The sequence below is a fragment of the Homo sapiens genome, chromosome 14 (genome assembly GCF_000001405.40).
Source record: "Homo sapiens chromosome 14, GRCh38.p14 Primary Assembly".
Classification (NCBI taxonomy): Eukaryota; Metazoa; Chordata; class Mammalia; order Primates; family Hominidae; genus Homo; species Homo sapiens.
The window spans coordinates 100,386,757-100,405,303 of record NC_000014.9 but is presented as its reverse complement, the minus strand read 5'-3'; the positions used below and the strand labels follow the sequence as shown (position 1 = coordinate 100,405,303).

The 18,547-nt window shown below is 46.6% G+C and overlaps 1 protein-coding gene across 6 annotated transcripts in view, besides 4 other annotated features; it reads right to left on the bottom strand.

Moving 5' to 3' along the window:
- WDR25 (WD repeat domain 25) overlaps positions 1–18,547 on the bottom strand; it is a 153,819-nt gene that overhangs the window by 125,000 nt on the left and 10,272 nt on the right. For 2 of the 6 annotated variants that reach the window (NM_001350949.2, NM_001387351.1), the window contains exon 2: positions 8,045–8,118. The exons of the other annotated variants lie outside the window; for them this stretch is intronic. In NM_001350949.2, the coding sequence (NP_001337878.1) occupies positions 8,045–8,116 (72 nt within the window). In that variant the 5' untranslated portion in view covers positions 8,117–8,118. The remainder of the gene's footprint in view (positions 1–8,044; positions 8,119–18,547) is intronic. 6 annotated transcript variants of the gene reach the window in all.
- Positions 913–1,414: an enhancer, noted in NCBI's record as "H3K4me1 hESC enhancer chr14:100870227-100870728 (GRCh37/hg19 assembly coordinates)". NCBI's record gives its function as "activates a minimal SCP1, AML or CMV promoter by ChIP-STARR-seq in primed H9 embryonic stem cells {active_cell/tissue: H9 hESC(primed)}" and the evidence as "EXISTENCE:reporter gene assay evidence [ECO:0000049][PMID:30033119]".
- Positions 6,541–7,740: an enhancer, noted in NCBI's record as "BRD4-independent group 4 enhancer chr14:100863901-100865100 (GRCh37/hg19 assembly coordinates)". NCBI's record gives its function as "activates an origin of replication core promoter dependent on BRD2, P300/CBP, MED14 and CDK7 cofactors, and independent of BRD4, by STARR-seq in HCT116 cells {active_cell/tissue: HCT116}" and the evidence as "EXISTENCE:reporter gene assay evidence [ECO:0000049][PMID:35650434]".
- Positions 6,918–7,212: an enhancer, noted in NCBI's record as "tiled region #10653; HepG2 Activating DNase matched - State 5:Enh". NCBI's record gives its function as "activates a minimal TATA promoter and a strong SV40 promoter by Sharpr-MPRA in HepG2 cells {active_cell/tissue: HepG2}" and the evidence as "EXISTENCE:reporter gene assay evidence [ECO:0000049][PMID:27701403]".
- Positions 11,054–11,558: an enhancer, noted in NCBI's record as "H3K4me1 hESC enhancer chr14:100860083-100860587 (GRCh37/hg19 assembly coordinates)". NCBI's record gives its function as "activates a minimal SCP1, AML or CMV promoter by ChIP-STARR-seq in primed H9 embryonic stem cells {active_cell/tissue: H9 hESC(primed)}" and the evidence as "EXISTENCE:reporter gene assay evidence [ECO:0000049][PMID:30033119]".

Sequence of the window (18,547 nt, the reverse complement as noted above, 5' to 3'; positions counted from 1 at the left end):
TGTAATCCCAGCTACTCAGGAGGCTGAGGCAGGAGAATCCTTTGAACCCGGGAGGCAGAGGCTGCGGTGAGCTGAGATCATACCATTGCACTCCAGCCTGGGTAACAAGAGCAAAACTCCATCTCAAAAAAAAAAGATGGGGCAGAGAGAGGATTCCTAGGCCCCTGAGCTCAGCATCCTTGTTGAAGCTTTGCCCAAGACTTAGGCTCCTGGTTTGGCTGCCAGCTGCCACCTTCCACAGATAAAAAATTCAATTCTGAGAATGAGGGGGTGAGACTGGAAGAAGCCTCTGAGGTGGGGGCAAGAGGACAGACAGATTCTGCGAGCACAGGAAAGACAGAACTAGCATGGGGACACAAGGTAGGAGGGTTAAGAGGAAGGGCCCAAACACACCAGTGCCAAGTTCAGACAATGATACAAGGAATAACCATGTCACTCACAGGAGGGATGGGCCCAGCAGAGGCCAGAGCTGCAGGGGAGAGGGGTGCATGCCCCCATGTAACAGCAGAAGGAGAATGCAGGCAGGAGGAGGGAGGGGTGTATACTTGGCATTTCAGAGTCAGGATCATGGCCCTAGAGAAACAGAGTCAGGTCAGCATCTCCCAGTCAGCAGACTGAACTGGGACAGAACATTTGCACACACAGTGAGCCCCATGGGAACGCCAGGCCTCCAGCGGACCCTATGCCTGGGAGGAAGCACTACAGAGATAAGGATGCATTTGCACTTCCCCCAAGGGCCTGCTGACCCTCCTGGCCCACGCAGCCCACAGGTAGGGGCCCCTGTTTCCCAGCCAGGAACACCAGAGGGGTGTGCGCTCTGCCTCCCATGGTGGTAAGGTCAAGGTGAAAACCACATGAGAAATGACACTGTCAGTGGTAAACCCAGCTTTTGAGACCAGGCCCTCACTGCCATGAATAACACTGATTCTACAGGAAAATGAGAACCCAGGTTCCAAACATCTGCTTTACACTTACGGGCTGGCGTGGGAGAGTGGAACGAACATAGACTTTGGGAGCAAACAGCCCTGGACTCCATTCCCAGCTCCGCACCTTGCAGCACCGTGCCCTGAGGCCCTCTCAGCCCCAGGTCCTTGGACGCAGGTTGGGGCATGCCATCGGCACCTCAGAGGTTTCAGGGGGACCAATCATGTGCGTATGGGGCCCAGCACTGGGCTGGACACATGGTAGGATCTCAGCAAATGGGAGTTCTAATTGCTACCAAAAGTGAATGTCAGGGAGCAGCCACCTTGAGCTCTTGTGATACTGGGTACAGCCCATGATAAAGTCCACACCAACATTGCCTCATTCTACTCAAGGCACTTCATCAGGCAGGCCAGAACCCAGGCAAACAGGAATTAACTTAATGCTCTGTTTGGCAGTACTTTCCCTGGGTCCATCATCCATTCTTATTCCCCGGAAGCTGCCAGCCAAGCAAACTGGAATATTGATCACTGCAATCATCTCGATGGAAGTCTGAGGGCCAAGCACTTCATGTGCATTTCAATTAGAAGAGTGGGCCTGTCATTCTAATTCTGCCTCATTCCAGCCAGCTTCACTCTAAGCAACAAACGGGCTCCTAAAAAGTTGAGTTCATCAGCAATCTATTAATGGAATCACACCTCCACACTGATTTTACATTATCATTGCCAAATGATACATATTCATTTTCCATCTTCAAAGGAACCAGAGTTGCTGTATCTGTGCTAAGCTCTGGGCACTACTCAGGGCTGCTATCTCCTGACCATACACAACAGCCCTGCGGGCTAAGCATGCCAGCACCACTTTACAAGAAACAGTGGGGGAGAAGCAGAGGACCTTCCCCAGACCTAGGGTAGAAAGAGCCATGGCTCAAACACAAATCTGCCCAGTTCCTTCCCAGGAGTCCCAACGATCCCAATAATTCCAAAGGCTTTTGCCTCCAATTCACTCTCCCAACATTTGGCCATATGTGCTTTGGTTGGAAAGGCAGCCAGGTCATTCTAATTCAAGGCAGCCCAGGCCCGCTTTGCTTCCCACGGCAAGGCTGATGCTCCCTAGGATCCAGAGATGAGCCAGATGTGGCCTCTCCAGATCCAGAGCATGGGAGCACGACTCATTTTTCTCTGTACATCAAATACCAATTTGTATTTCTATTCTTAAAAAATCAGTTTTCAAAGAAATAAAGAAGAATGGTCTCTTCCCCGAGAGGAAGCTTACTTGGTAGAAAGGATAGGACACTATCCATAAGAGAAAATTTAATTCACCCCAACAACCATTTGTTGGACACTGCTAATACAGAAGCCCTGAGGTCAGCGAGACAGGGTCAAGAACGTAATGAAGCTCAGCTGTCAACCCCTCAGAGAGGGCTGGACCCTCAGGAGGACAACCTAAGGGTGTCCTCCTAGCAGATCTCCCTAAGTGCTGGCTGGCTGCACGGGTCTCATCCCTATGGCATTTTATTTCGTGCCCCTGGCTCTGCTCCACGGTGGTCACGAGGTGTTAGTAATTTCTCTGCTTAATGACTTCCTCTGGAGCTCACAGGGAGAGAAAACCGATTCAGAATCATGAATGCTCATTTCAACTACTCTGCAGGAAGAGTTTGGGGGACACCTGTAATTCTCTCATTACCTCATTTAGCTACAGTTAGTTTGGAGATCACAAAACTACTCAGCTTAAAAGGGCCTCAGAGAACACAGTTGAGCCTCTATGTTTGCCAAGAGAGGAAACCAACACCCAGAAATTGCCTGGCCTGCCGAGGGCTCAGCTGGAAAATGACAGAACCCCATTTGGACCCCTGGCCCCTGGCTGACAGCGCATCACTCTGTCCACCCCCATGTCCCACCTGTCTTGTTCCTGCCTATGACAATAACCTTGCAAAAGAACGAGTCACTCCTAGCCCAGATCATGCCTTTAAAGCCAAGGGAATTTTTTGATTTTTTGGTTTTGTTTTTTTTTTTTAGGAGAAAGCAATAACAAAGAAAAGTGGGGGAGTGTGTCTTAAATAAAGATTGTCCCTCTGACGTGCTGGATGGAAAGCTTTTGGGTGTGAGCTTTATGATTATACCGAGGTAATAATGGACGTCACATATCAGGAGAGAAGATGTCACTACCTTTTGACAGAGGACACTTGGGAAGAAAAAGTTACAAACAGAAAGCTTTCCCTTTACCTTCTGAGGGGTAGAATAATAATTCACCTGAATTGTCAAGATCTGTTCCAGGAGCATTTGTGCAATAAAGAAAGGTTCAGAAAACCTCCTGTGCCATTATGGGCATTCATGGGAGTAGCAGTAATAACTGGGTTTTAAAAGCCTCGCACGATTGAGCAAAAGTGCTTTGCAGCACTTCCTACTCCTTCATCAGCACCTGCTAATGCCAGTTGTACCCCAGGAGGTGCACCAAGGAGAATGTAACTGAGCCCCTCCAAAGTGTCCATGCTAAAAATCACATCCAAGCCCTCAAATTCCACAGAGAAAATGGCAAGTGCCTGCATACACAGAATGAGCAGAACTAAGACACGTGCAGAGCCACCCAGGAGCAGAGAAGCCAGGTGCAAGTTCCAGGGGATGAAGTGTCCTCCCCACTGCCTCTCAGGCTCTCTGGTACTTTTCCATTCCTCTGTATGAATATGTTTTTCTTCCTTTAGGATCAGAAACAAAGTAAAAAGAAGCCCAAAAAAGAAAAATGTCAACCAACAAATTCTCTCTGTAATTCTCTTACTACCACCAGAACCTGCTGGTACAAAGCACTGGGGAGGAAGAAGTGATCAATCCCCAGGCAGGGGAGCCTCCTGGAGGGGATCCAACCTGAGGCAGCCCTGAACGGCAAGGACTTGCCTCCTGGGGACATGGGCAGGGTGCTCAGGGCCACCCCTGCCAAGGAAGTCTAAGACACCGGGGAGGAGGCAGGGGACCAGCCTCCACGACACTCAGACCTCAATGGACAGAACTGGTCTGAGATGCCCGAATCAACCAGAGAAGGTGATAAGCAAGGAAATGCCTAATGAGGCAGTGCAAGGGGGATAGATGTGGACTGAGACCACGAGGAGGCCGGCAGAAGCAGAAACTGGGCCTCTCTGGCTCTGGCTCGGTGGGGCAGAGGCTGCAGCCACGGGGAGGGGGAGGTCTCTCCCGCCCCAGGAACAGCGAGCAGCCGCCGACGCGCCCCGGAGGCCCAGAGGAAATATTATTGTGAGACAAAAACTGAATTATGAAATCCGCAAGCAATAATTAGTTTAAATTACTACTTCTACTTGAATAATTAAACACGCTTATTTTCACTCACTGATGTTTTATTCATTACCATACATCTTTCTTGAAAATTGTTTTTAACGTGAACATTCTTTTATTTGCAAAGATCCCACAGAGATTTACTATGCTAATTTCAAACCTTTCTTCTAAAATAAAAACAATAACAAAAACACTCCTAGATTATCATCCATTAGTGACTACTGTGTGGGGTCCATTATCAACTTAAGTCATAGCAACTGGATGGAAATACTGTGGGTAGTTGTAAAGTTATTCACACACCAAAGCTTCCTCCCTTTAAAATTCACGACTGAAAGGGCAATATTTAAATAAGCGCAAAGTGATTATGAAAACAAAAAGACCCCAGTGCAGAAAGACCACTTAGCCACAGATGGAAAGTGCCTTTTGCTTTTTATCATGCCCTGTATTAATGAAAATGTTTTTGCATTTTCACAAATAATGTTTGAATTTTATAAGTCTTATTTTTACACACTGGAGCCAGGATACCCAGAAGCACAGTAATAAGGGCTTAAGGTTTTTATTAAACAAAGTTACCTTTGGGAATAAGTACTAACTTAAATATAATCCATGAACTAACTCTTCCTTGCTGGGCTATTAGCTGGTGCTGGCTGAATGGCAAAACTCCAAATCCTAGCTAATGCCAACAAGCTGGGCCTGAGTCAAACCCGGAAAGGTGCAGCAAGGCTGCCACCATCATAAACCAGCTCCACTGAGGACCAGGCGCCAACAGCCCTCCGAGGGGACCACAAAGCCCAGTTAATGTGCAGCCATGTGGGTTGTACGGCAGAACTGACAACAGCTGCACTCACTGGATCACCATGACAAGTATCAAGGAATGTCACTGCGGTACAGGACACACATGCCCCAGCTCTGTCACTTAAAAAGCCACTCCTCCAGAGGAGGAAATGTGCTTTTCACACTCCTGGTGCCCCACAGCACCTGACCCCATGTCTCAGAAATGGCCAGTCCTCACTGAACATTCATTGAATTAAGTATCTTTTTTAAGGCCTCAACTGTACTTCTCTTTCCCCCAAGTCCTTTAAAAGCAGTCATTCAGCCCAGTAATTCAACAAATGCATCTAACCCTCTCCCATGTGTAACTTAAGTTATTCCTGGAACCTGCAGCACCCGTACCCTCCTCATCTGGTATTTTTCCCTCAGTTAATGTAAGTAAATTCAAGTAAGTCTTTTTCACATGGTTGCACCCAGTCTTCTGGAGCCACAGGGAAGTAGATTACTCAAAATTTTGAAGTTTCAATTTTGAAATCAAAAATGACCATCTACTGAACAGAATGATGAGCTGTGGCATCAGCTTGGCCTTTGGAAAATGAAGGGACTCCAGAGGCCACAGGCCAGGGCTTAGCTGATTCTAGAAATCAATATTATCTGCGTCATCATCGTTAGAAGCATCCGGAAAGCAGAACAGAGCTTCTGCTGGGCTTCTGTTTCCGTGGCAACAGCTTCACTGGCCTGTTGCAGGGAAAGGCATAGAAGATGGGAATTGGCAAGAGAGAGCGAGAGGGGCACAGGGGGACGGAAAGGAGGAAATGCAAAGGAGAAAAGGCAGGCGGAGACAGGACCAGGTGCAAGGCCAAAGGAGAGCATAGTGAAAAAAGTACCGAAAAAGACATGAGAGAAAGGATGAGAGAGAAAGGAAAAGGGGGGAAATGCAAGAGAAGGAAGGGAAAGGAATGGAAGGAAACGTCCTAGGCTGGGACTTTTGTCGGAAAAATCACCTACAGATGTGCATCTATCGGTATGCAAAGCATGCTCTAGTTTCACTCATTAAATGCAACACATTTCAACTCAGTTACTGCCTCAAGACACACTCAATTATCCGATAAACCACAGGAAGGTTGTGTAAAAACATCAATGTGGTAAGCAGTCTAAATTCGAATTCTAGCTAATGTCAACATTAGCCCAAAAGGCTGGCTGGGTTAAATCCAGAAGGAGGAAAAAAGGAAGAAAAAAAAAAGAAAAAAGGAATGAGAAACCTGTTATCACTAAACAGCTACCATTAAGGACAAGTCACTAATGGCACTTTATAAGTGAGTGCTCTTTAAGCCTCATTAAGGTGCAAATCTTCTGCTTGTCTTGTTCATGATTGAACTAGGAAGCAAGTCTTGAAAACCAAAAGACATCCAGTACGAGCTTAACTGTAGCTTCAAGGCTCTGGTCTCCTGATATGGGACATCAGCCAGGATGTGCAGGGTTTGCTCAGAACAGGGAACTCAAAATTAGTGGCCAGGACAAGCTCCAGTCCATTCCTTACTGCCCAGTCCACCCCCCAAAAAAACAAATTACTTATTAAATAGCAAGAGCTCTCTAAATGCAATATGGCATCCTAGATTGGATCCTGAAACGGAAAAAGGACATTAGTGGAAAACCTGGTGAAATGCAAATAAAGTCCATAGTTTAATTAACAGAGTTGTACCAATGTTAATTTCTTAGTTTGATAAATGCACCAGGTTATGCAAGATGTTACCATTCGAAGAAGTTGGGTGAAGGGTACATAGGAACTCTCTGTATTATTTTTATAACTCTTCCATAAATCTGAAATTATTTTTTAAAGTTTTACAAGAAAAATAACAAGGGGTGTTTAAAAGTTAAGACTCCTGTTTTTCTAACAATGATTTATCTTTTTCATATAAAACCAATGCTCCGATAGGGCTTAACTATCATAAAATTTTACTGGAATGCTGGCTGAAACATTACAAGGAAGGCCATACTCCTGCAGCAAAAGTAAATTATTAAACTCCAGCGTGTTAGCAGTGTCCCTTCCCTCTGAAGCAAGAACAAAAGGAGTGACATGCCTCTGCATGTCAAGAAGCAAGGCTCTGTCAGGCGGAAATGGAATGCACTTCGAAGAGCATGTATTGCAACCTCTTCACACTCCCCACTCCTGATCAGAAGTCTTCTCCAGGCCGGGTGTGGTGGTTCATGCCTGTAATCCCAGCACTTTGGGAGGCCAAGGCGGGTGGATCACTTGAGGTAAGGAGTTGGAGATAGCCTGGCCAACATGGTGAAACTCTGTCTCTACCAAAAATACAAAAATTAGCCAGGTGTGGTGGTGCACACCTGTAATCCCAGCTACTCAGGAGGCTGAGGCAGGAGAATTGCTTGAGCCTGCGAGGCAGAGGTTGCAGTGAGCCAAGACCACACCACTGCACTCCAGCCTAGGCGACAGAGCAAGACTCCGTCTCAAAAACAAAAAAAGTTTTCTCCAGCCTGTCTTGCTCCTCATGCCTTATGCATCCAATGCCCAGCCTCGTCCAGCTACCTTGCAGTTTGCTGATGGCAGCATGCTCTTGTACACCTCCCTGCCTTTGCACACTCTGTTCCCTTGGCCTGGAATGCTTTTCTATCGCTTTGCTGCTGAGCAATGGCTACCCATCCTCTAGGACTCCTGTGACTTGCTGACACTGCCCCTCCCAGGCTGTTCTTTATGCCCCAGAGCACCTTACCCAACACCCTTCAGAGCAGTCATGATGCTGCGCTATAATGATCTGTCCACCTGTTTCTTTCAATGAGCCAGGAGCCTTTCCAGAAAGGCTATATTCATCTCTGTATCACACTCCCATCCCTAGCACCCAAGTCTCACAACAGATGTTGAATGAATGAAATACTATGTCAAGAATGCAGGCAATTCTTTAAAAGAGAAAATACCAGTAACAACTTTCCATCTTCTGTTAAAAGGCCAAAAAGAGTCCATTTGTAAGAAGTGAAGGAAGTAAGCCCTTTTAAAAGAAACAGATTTTGTTACAGAACGACAGGTCCATTTCCACCGACAATATACGCACTGTACAAGTATCCTCTTCCGACCGAGAAGCTGAAAAGCTTTCCAAAGGTTTTGGTTTCCTTGACAACAGCATTGCTGGAGACAAGCAGAGAAATAATTAAAAAGTATGTTCCCTTTGCTTTGAACTCGTTAAGTGTTTTTAGGCAATAACAAACAGGTCACACTTGACAACGTCAGTATGGACAGAGCCAAGGGCATGAGGGGAGACCCCACCTTGCCACCCCTCCAGCAGCATCTCCTCTGAACTCGGGGACCTGAGTTGAAGGACTTGAGCCATTTGAGAAATACAACATTCACCATGAGAAACACAGACCATACAGGTCAGGTTAACAAAAGCACTTTGCAAGGTCCCTGGCCAAAACCACAACATTTATCCTCACAACAGGTCTGTGAGATAGGTATTGTTACAGCCACTTGGCAGGAGAGAAACCAAGGCACAGAAAAGAGCAAAACAACTCTGGCAGTCTGGCCCAGGGACCTGTGGCCCTGCCACAGCCCACCCTAGAAAGAACATGTGACCTCTCCTTAGCTTGATTCGGACAGAGATTTCCCCTGGCCTCTCCTATGATCTTCATCTCCTCCCTGGGCAGCTGAGACAAGAAGCTAACTGCCTTTCCTCTGAGCACTACTGTCCTGCCATCCCACATGCCTTTGTGAGGCCACTTGTGTTGGCTTCTCTTGGACAGCAAGAACTGGGCAAACTTGTGCCACCTGCCTTGGGTCTGCGAGAACACAGCACACAGAACAAGACGCAAGGCACCAGCTGGGAACAGCAGTCAGCTCTGCGCTTGATTGACAGGCTTCCTTCTCCTTTTGGGGTGGCTTTTCATGGTCTGTCTTGCTTTAATAGCTTCACTGTGTTTGTATCTTTTATTGTAGGCTTCCTCAAGTCCTTTCTGGATTTAAGATTTATAAATAAATAATAAACAAATGTACAAGCTGCAAGCCCATGACCATTACCTGACAGTGTAAATACAAACATTTCGGCCGGGCGCAGTGGTTCACGCCTGTAATCCCAGCACTTTGGGAGGCTGAGGCAGGTGGATCACAAGGTCAGGAGATCGAGACCATCCTGGCTAACATGGTGAAACCCCATCTCTACTACAAATACAAAAAATTAGCCGGGCGTGGTGGTGGGCGCCTGTAGTCCCAGCTCCTCGGGAGGCTGAGGCAGGAGAATGTCATGAACCCGGAAGGCGGAGCTTGCAGTGAGCCGAGATTGCACCACTGCACTCCAACCTGGGCGACAGAGCGAGACTCCGTCTCAAAAAAAAAAAAAAAAAAAAAACATTTCACAGATGTGGAACAATCATCACTTTGATTTAGCTCCCAGCAAAGTTTCCAAAGCCCTTTCACAAACCTGGCGACATTTAACCAATCCCGAATCCCCACAGGGATGCCTCCTGCACAGACTGGAGGTGAGGGGTGGGTGGGGGAGTGCAGTTGGACCCCTCCAAGATTCTCTACATCCCAAAATTCAAGTAGGCCCACAAAGAGCATGGTCGACTGAGCAGGTGCTATTCATTCAAACTGGAGATAAAACAAGGGAAGAAAACAAATTCCCTGCCCTCATGGAACTTATATCAGAGCTCCTGCCATTTTACAGACGAGCTCATTAAGACACAAAAAGATTAAAGGCCTTGCCACAGTTACACGACTACACTTTTGGAGCCCCCAAGCAGGGAAGTGACTAGAACAATCCCAGAAAGCAGAGGCAGCAAAGGTGAGTTCAAATGCCAGCCCCGTGCTTAGGAGCTACATGTCCTTCAATACGCCCCTCTGGTCCTCAGTTTTGTCATCTGTAAAGGGGGCATACGGATGCTGATGCTGCTGCCAGCTTGCATTATGGAGTGCCTGCCATACGCCTGGTACTCTCCTGAGAGTCTGCCGTGGGTTCTCTTGTTTAATCCTCAGAAGACTGAGGTGGATGCTGTTATTGTCCTTGACTTACGATGGGGAAACTAAGGTCCAGAGAGTTAAGTAACTTACCCTAAGCCACACAGAAAGCACAGGGGCTGGGACTGAACACCGAAATAAGACTCCCTGAGCTCTGATGATTACCCAGCTGAGGGCAAATGAGATGTAAACCCCTGTGTGGTGCCTGACCCAGCACAAGTACAGGAAGCGCCATCTGGCCTTGGGCCACTGACCATCCAGGGCTAAAGCTGATGACCAGCCCAAGCACTTCACCTGGCCGTCCTCACTGTCCCCGCCCCACAGCATGCACAGTACAGGGCTGTCCTCCCCACCCACCTGGCTGCCCCTCATCGATTTCATTGTTGTTGTTTTTTTTTGAGATACAGGCTTGAGTGCAGTGGCACAATCATGGCTCACTGTGGCCTTAACCTCCTGGGCTCAAGCAATCCTCCCGCCTCAGCCTCCCAAGTAGCTGGGACTACAGGCATGTGCCACCACACCCAGCCAATTTTTTAATTTTTTGTGGAGATAGGCCTCCCTATTTTGTCCAGGCTGGCCCCGAAATCCTGGCTCCTCATCTTCTAAGACCCAACTCGTCCTTCCCCTTCCCTGAGGCTTTTCTTGTCCTCTGCCTCCAGCACTGACAGACCTAGCACACTCTCCCATATATTCCTGTTCCCAGCACAGATAGCCCTGGAGGGCCTTTCTCATCATCCCTCTCAAGTCTGCTTTGATGTCTGTGCCTCATTCACCTTTTACCAGCAAGAGTGGGTCTGGTCCCCTCTGATCCCAGGGCCTGGCAAAGAGCCAGAATTTAACTGATGGCTGGACAGCCATACAGATGACCAAATGAAGAAAGAAGTGAGGAACAGCCCTGCTGACACTGCCACTGAGTGCTTTCTCTGCTCACAGCAGAGACAGCATAAAGCAAGGCCCGAGGAATTCACAGGCCACACAGCAGCAAGTCCAGAAGCCTGGCTCATGGAGACGTCACAAGGCCCATCAGCTGAGCCATCCCCCAAGTCCACCACCTCAACCACTGCCAGCCATGTCACACTGCTGGACTGGAAGACAAGAAGCCACACCTAGAGGGACCTGAGCTCCTCAAGAGTCTGCTGGGGTCACTGGGTGCGCACCGGATTATTTGATCAACGAATCAAGGCAACTGGAGGCAAAGTGGATTGCAAGCCTCACACCCTTAGGAACACGGCTTAGGAGGCAATCACAGAATAAACCCCGGCTTGGAGTTCTTGATAATACCTTCCATTTGTAAGAGCGTTATCGTTTACAGAGTGGTTTCACACATCTAACCTCCTCTGATCCTCACAGCCCTGTGAGATAATTATTTCACAGATGAGAATGCTGAAGCTCAGAGAAATTAGAGGAGGAATGTGCCTGACTCTCTTTTGAATACGCAGTGTGTGGAGCGCTGTGCTCCACTCAGGCGGGGCCCCAAGTGCAGTAAAGTGCAGTATTTCAGGGCAGAGCAGCTCACAGCCACCATCTTGGCCCTGACCACAGGACACTCAAGCCATTAACGGCCTTGGAGCCCAAGGTCTGAGTGGCTGACCCAATGCCTGCATCTACTTCCCAGCCCTCCAGCAACATGGGCTCCAACCTGCACTACACCCCTCCAGGCAAAACAGCCCTCGCTCCCTTTCCAAGTAGTCTACTGCCCGAGTTGCCCAGCTCTGAGCACCGGAAAGTTCTTCACCATGTGCTGACCTCTTCCCCCCACAGACACACCTTCCACCATCTGTCCTACTTCTGCCCTGGGAGCAAACCCGAATACACCTCGTTCCCCTCCCACAGCAGCCCTGCCAGCACCTGATGACAGCCACCAATCCTCCGCCCCCGGGCTAACAGCAACACAGCAGGACACCCAGGTACCGGAACCGTATCAGAACCATATCAGAACACACTTGAATGAGAGAAAAGAACATGAAAAGAAGCCCAGGACGAAAACAAACAACTTTTCTAAGCAAAGGTGACAATGAAAATCTGTTTTAATTTGTGTTTTTGTACCTTTCAAAATAACATTTCAACTAGTTCAGAAAGAGAGCACTTCTGTTTATAAAATCTCTTTCATTTTCCCTACAGTTGTCAGGCTGTGTAAATACACTGTGAGTAGGGAGAGAGAAATTGCTACTTGTGAAACTTTTAATGCTAGCATGTATTCAAATTAGAATTCTAAACTCAGCAGGTTAAGAATGTTCTGAAAGCAATTTTGGTGTTAGTCTAAATAATTACAGATCACATTCACTTAGATAAGGGCCTTTGCCCCCTTGGGGCTTCAAGGGAAAATTCTAGGCATGATAGTTAAGCAAAATAGTTGGTTATTACCAACACCGCAAGCTTTGCGGTGGCAGTGCAAATTGGTATAATCCTTTTGGAAAGCAATCTGACAAGAGACGTATCTGGACCCATGAAAATGTACAACCCTTTGACCCAGCAGTCCCACTTCTGGGAATCAATCCGAAAGAAATAATCCAACAGAAAAGGGTTTCATGCATGAAGATAACCACTTCAGCATTATCTATATAATAGCAAAAATTAGAAACCACCTAAGTGTCCAAGGGCGGCTAAGTAAATTACAGTTAATCAACTCGATAGAGCGTCATGGAACCAGTGAAAATTGACGGCCCTCCAAAGACGCAGAGGCGGCTGGTGGCACAGTGTGGCGCGGGCAGGGCTGGGAGAGAATGTTAAATGGAAAGACAGGCTGCAGAGCTGCACGCACACTCTGACAAACACAGCCCGTATGGACCAGAAATGGATGGGAGGGTGTTCAAAGGATAATGATAATTTCAGTGTATGGTCGAGTTGGTGGATTTTGCTTATGGTTTTGTAATGCTGCTGAGTCATCTCCACAAAGGGCCAAAGGAAGGGCAGAGGAGAAGGGGCAAGAGGGTGACAGAGGCTTGGACCCCTGGGATCACGTTTTCATCACACAGTTTGGAGAGCTAACCAAGCAGAAGAAGACAGAGACGTGGCTGGAAAAGAACCCACTCACTTATCCCAGAACTAGGATGTGCTGACGTTTTTACCAACACAATAGTGAGATTCCCCAAAATGTAATTACAGATGTAAAGAAAACTGTGGTCCTCAATTACACTGTCTAAAATGACTGAGGACCCCAAAGAGCTGTTGTTTTTTCGGATTATAGCTATGGGTACTTCGCGTATTAGAAGTGAAAACTGAGGACATTTTAAAATATTTATTAATTTATGTAAAAGTAACAGTAACAAACCCCCCACATGTTAACAGAAATAGCACATTCTTATAAAAATAACTCTATTTTCCAAGACCAAGAAAAATTAGTAAGAAGGCATTGTTTACATTTTTGCAGATCTCATTAATGTCTGGCTTAATACAAGACAGCTGGGTTCTCAAAGCTGCGTCTGTATTTAATCCACTGCAAAAGCACACGCCTCATAGCCTCTGGAAAACTCCATGTACACTCAGGAGAGAAGGAGAATGGAAAAGGCAAATAACTCCTAGGTATTATTATGAAAATAGTTTTGACCCCCTGAAAGGGTCTTGAGGCCCCCCAGGGATTTGGAGACCACACTAAAAACCAAAGCAATAAATTACAGCATTAAAAACTGCTACTGCAGTATGTGGAGGGAAAGAAGGGTTTAAATTAGATGTATAGTTGGAGCTCAACTATGTTGAATCTTTTTTTTTTTTTAAGGCTGGATGAAAATATACCAAAAAGTCTGCAGTCATTGCCTCTGGGTGGAGAGAAAATGGGCAATTTGTTTCTTCTTTATACCTTTCTGTTCTTTCCAGATTGCATTTCTTTTATGGTCAAAAACAACATTTCTTTTTTGAGGAAAGGTTGAGGAAGCTGTGGCGTACCCATGCCCTGCGGAATAAGCCGGATGGGAAGAAGGTCATTTTAAATCATGAATAGCCAGCGTCAGTGTGGGGGAGCATCACGAAGCTGGCTGCCGGGGACCGCGGCGCTGCTCCTTAATATGCCCATCGATCCCTGGCACCACGCACACATTCATCATGGTGGCGCAGGGCCTGCCTCGGACCCACTGACGAGAATTGAAACTGGCTCAAGCTAATCACTACTAGATGAAGGTCAAATATAGGTGACGATTTATCAGATCTCAGGGTGGGGGAGGACATGCCATGCTCTAGAGCCATGGACAATTACAAAGGGAAAGGGCCAGAGACTTGACAGCGAAAAATGTCAGGTTTTCTCTGTTAAAAAAAAATACATGAAATACCAAAACTCAACATCACACAACACCCTGGGGGGGAAGAGGGTAAAATATGATGAAAGGTCAATATTGTAAGTACGTAAATTGCCCAGATAAGAGAAACGCTAAGACTACAGGAGATGAATGGACAAGAATCAGGATAACAAATGCTTGTTTAGAATGAACGAAGTGCCGGCCCGTTCTAAAAGAGCTGTACGTAAATGAACTCACTTGGTTCTCAAACAAGACACCATTAAATTAGCAGACATTTTCAAAAGGTAATAATTCTGCCGCTGTGGAGGGTGAGAAGACGCAGCCACTTTTACGCATAAATGATGGTGTGTGTCAGACACTGAGCGCTACACAGCCCCCAAAAAGAGCGGCACAGATCTGCACACTGGTGGGAAAAGATGTGCCGGACAGTGAGAAAACCAAGCTGGAGGACAGGATGGAGAGTGCAGTCTGCACACTAAACACAGAGACCTTGACCCTCTTCCCCAGCTCAGATGCCGGAAGGCTGGCAGCAGGCCAAGAGCCCACCCAGAGAAGACACCTCCCTGAGAAGCTGACCAGGCTCAAGGAAATACATAAAAATAATCACAAGTGGGTTCCTATGATGAGCGCCAGCCTGCTGCCTCATAACCCTACATCCGGCCCGCTGCAAACAAAGTCCCTTTGCCCCCACACAAGGGCGTGTGCATGCACACACACACACACACACACACACACACACACACAGCTTTTGGTCAGGTCAGCTTTTTAGGTCCTCCCTCCCTAATTGGAATGAGCAGCAGGAAATCTCTAACATGGAACACAGACACCAAAACAAAAAAAGACCAAAGGAGATAAGAAAGAGACAAACATTTCAGAAAACAGGAAAACTTTCAAAGAACTCAAAGAGCTAAGAAAAGACCTTGTAAATATACAATAAAAAACAATATGCTATATTAAAAAAAGGAACATTCAGAAAATAAGAAACAGCTCTTGGAATGTAAAAACATGACAGAACACTTCCCTGAATATATATTATTCTTCAATTTGAAAGTTTATGACAGCAGAAATACAAATTCAAAAAAAGCATTGAAAGATAGATAAAGTGGAAGAAATTCCCCAGAAAAATAAAACAGAAAGGCCAAGAAATAAAGAGGAGAAACCGAGACGCTCAATCCAGGGACATCCAGGATGCCCAAGCAATCAGAGTTGCAAAGTCAACGACCTTCAGCAGCAGCAGCCCCAGAGGGTGCCGCTCATCTCTGTATGGCCCTCGTTCTATGGGGGGGCCGAGCTCCCCAGTGCCCCAATCCTGGCGAGGAAAGGCAGGCCTGGAACAGCCCCACAAGCCCTGGCAAAGCAGAGTTCTAGGGCCGCTTTGGTTGTAGGTTTCTAAAGCCCTTCTGGTCCTCCCTGCATTTCAGCCAGTATCACAGTATTCCACGTAGAAGATCAAGGTACGCTGTCCTCTGCCAAGTTCAGGAAACTTCAGGAAGCCTGCCAGAGGGGAGGCCAGGTGAAGGCAGGCTTCCAGCTATCCTGGGCTGACACAGTTGGTCTCACTCACATGTACCTTCTGACTGCCCCTCAGGGCTTCTGTCCCCCGGCTTGCTCCACTCCCCCCAGTATATGAGGGGTCCGCATGAGAGCTGTGTTCATCTGGGAGAATAGACAAAAGAAAACACCTGACAAGAAACAGCAGAAGCTAGAAGGAAACCTTAAAAGGTTGGAATGACTTACCTAACCCTTCTCTTAAGAGGAAATAATACTAACAATCTGGGGGAGAAATGACCACCCTATGATTTTAAATGCAGGCTACAAAAACAAAGTACCTACCATATGATTAAAACTAGTTGATATATGTAGGGAAAAAAGACTAGAAGGAAACGCTGCTTGCAAAATGTTCATGGTCATTAGGCTTGAATGAAGGGTCTATGGTTTATCTTTTAATTTCTGCCATTTTCTTGCATTTTTTCCCAAAATTTTACCACTTTTATGATAAAACAAATTAAATCTAAAACAACTCATTTGGACACAGGCCATCACTGGGCATTAGACAAGCACCTTTAAGAGTCTACTGTCTCCGAGTTTTAAAAGCAACAAGAAATAATTTACTAGACTGTCTCGACTCCTAAGTGCGCCAATTTTGCAATCTGCATTTTTCAATTACATTAAAAGCATTTTTCCAAATTGCTCTATCCTTCCCTTAATGACATGGGATGAGAGTGAATGAGGCTTGCTTCTCGAGGACAGAGGCTGCACCTTCACACGGCTGTTTTCTTCCTGTCAGCTTCTGGCGAGCACAAGGCCCCGCCCTTGGTACACTGAACTGTTTAAGTTAAATGGAATGAAGTTATTAAAAAGCAGAAAACACAGCTTGGGTTCTGCTACACTTTCCTTTTCTTATTCCTCTTCAACCCAAGGTTTTTTCTGTAAGATACAAGATTGTAAGGCAACTGGAACTGGGAAATGTCTCATTTGTTGGCCTCAGAAATGTCGCGGCTTTCACATGGGGGAGGAGGAGTGTCAAAAAAACTTCACTTCCCACGAAGAGAAGATTCCAGCTCAGAATCTCATGGCTCTTCCCAGAGGCTCGGCAGCTCTGCTGCCAACCAGTCTAAAGCCCCACACTCCCAATCCTGGGGTAATTCAGATGATTCTGAAAGTCCTCTGGAAGGTGGGAAAGAAGAGAAGCAAATATAGTGTCCAGACTAGGAAGCATCCAAACACCTATTGTGTGTCCTCGGGCGTGTCTTCCCCTCTATGGGCCTCTATCAAATGAACCAGATGAACGCTATGCATGCACGCACATGCGCACACACACATCACCAATTCTCTCCTCACCTTCATCTAATTACCCTGGATGCACTGTTAATCATTCACTCCCCAAATACCAAAGGCCCACTACCACCACCCAAACCTCCTTCCCAGCTGCGCCTCTCATTGCCAATAGATTTGCCTCGTGCTTAGAATAAATTGCCAATCATCTGCATAATGCTCCACAACTCCTCACTCCACACATCAAATCATTTCTCAATCTCATTTTGTAAAATCCATCAAGAATAATTCTTTCAAAACTGAAATAAACCCTCACTCTGGCACTTAGAGCCATAAATCCCTTGTCTTTGAATGTGAAATAGATCACTTTCTACAAAGCACATCTAAGATATCTTAATGTAATCAGATTCACTAACAATGATAAATCAACAGGATCCTGTGATACATAAAAATGCAAATCCAAACCACCCCAGAAATCATCTCTTCTCTGTATGTCCCTTAACAGAACCACAAAATTTGGAAGCTGGGATAGAGCTTGGACACCACCTGGGTGAAGGGGATGCGCTTTTCCATCCCTTATTCTCAGAGGCAGGAGGGCAGCGTGAGTGGTGGTAGCTCTTTCTGCTCAGGCTCTGAGTCTGAAGCTTCCCTGCTTGCCTCTATCATTTACTAGCTGTGTGACCACGGACAAGTCTCTTGACCTCTCTGTGCCTCAATTTCCTCATCTGTAAAATGGGAATGAGGACAGAAGTGGCCTCTCAGGCCTGTAATGAAGAGGAGACGGAGCGTTTAGAACATGCCTAGTACATGGTAAGCACTCAGCAATGGCTAGCGCTCTCCATCCTCTCATCCATGCTTTAAATGTGACCACTTTGGGGACAGGGAACCAGCTCTCCAACACAGACCTGCCAAGTGTTCAGTACATGAAAAGGGAGTGCATGAATGGCTTGGCACAGACAATCCTCAAACTCTTTAGATTCTAAAAGTATTTATCTCAAGAACACTGAGATTGAAACGCTTTAAAAACGTGTGCATAGAGACAATGAAAAGATTCACAAAAAACAAGAGTTACAGTAAGTTGGAGGATTCTGGGTGATTTGTCTTTTCTACACTTTGTTTTATAACTAATCAAGACAGGTACAGGGGAATCAGAAACATGCTTCCTCAGCCTCTCCCTTGTCAGGCACTAGGCTGGATCTTCTCATTTCAGCTCTACAGCAACAACCTTAATTGGTGGCCATTTACCAATTATCCCCATTTTACCAGTGAGGAACTAGGGGATCAGAGAGGCTAAGTGATTTTCCCAAAGTCACACAGCTACCAAGCAGAAGATTTGGCATGGGAGCCAAGGAGTACAACAGTGGTACTGAAGGTTTGCCAATCTAATCAGGTCCCACTCTCACCACACACAAGGGCTTTAGCTAATGCCTGGGTGTAAATCAAAGCCCATCTTTTTCTTTTTTTTTCTGAGATGGAGTCTCGCTCTTTCACCCAGGCTGGAGTGCAGTGGTGCGATCTGGGCTCACTGCAAGCTCCGCCTCCTGGGTTCATGCCATTCTCCTGCCTCAGCCTCCCGAGCAGCTGGGACTACAGCCGCCCACCAC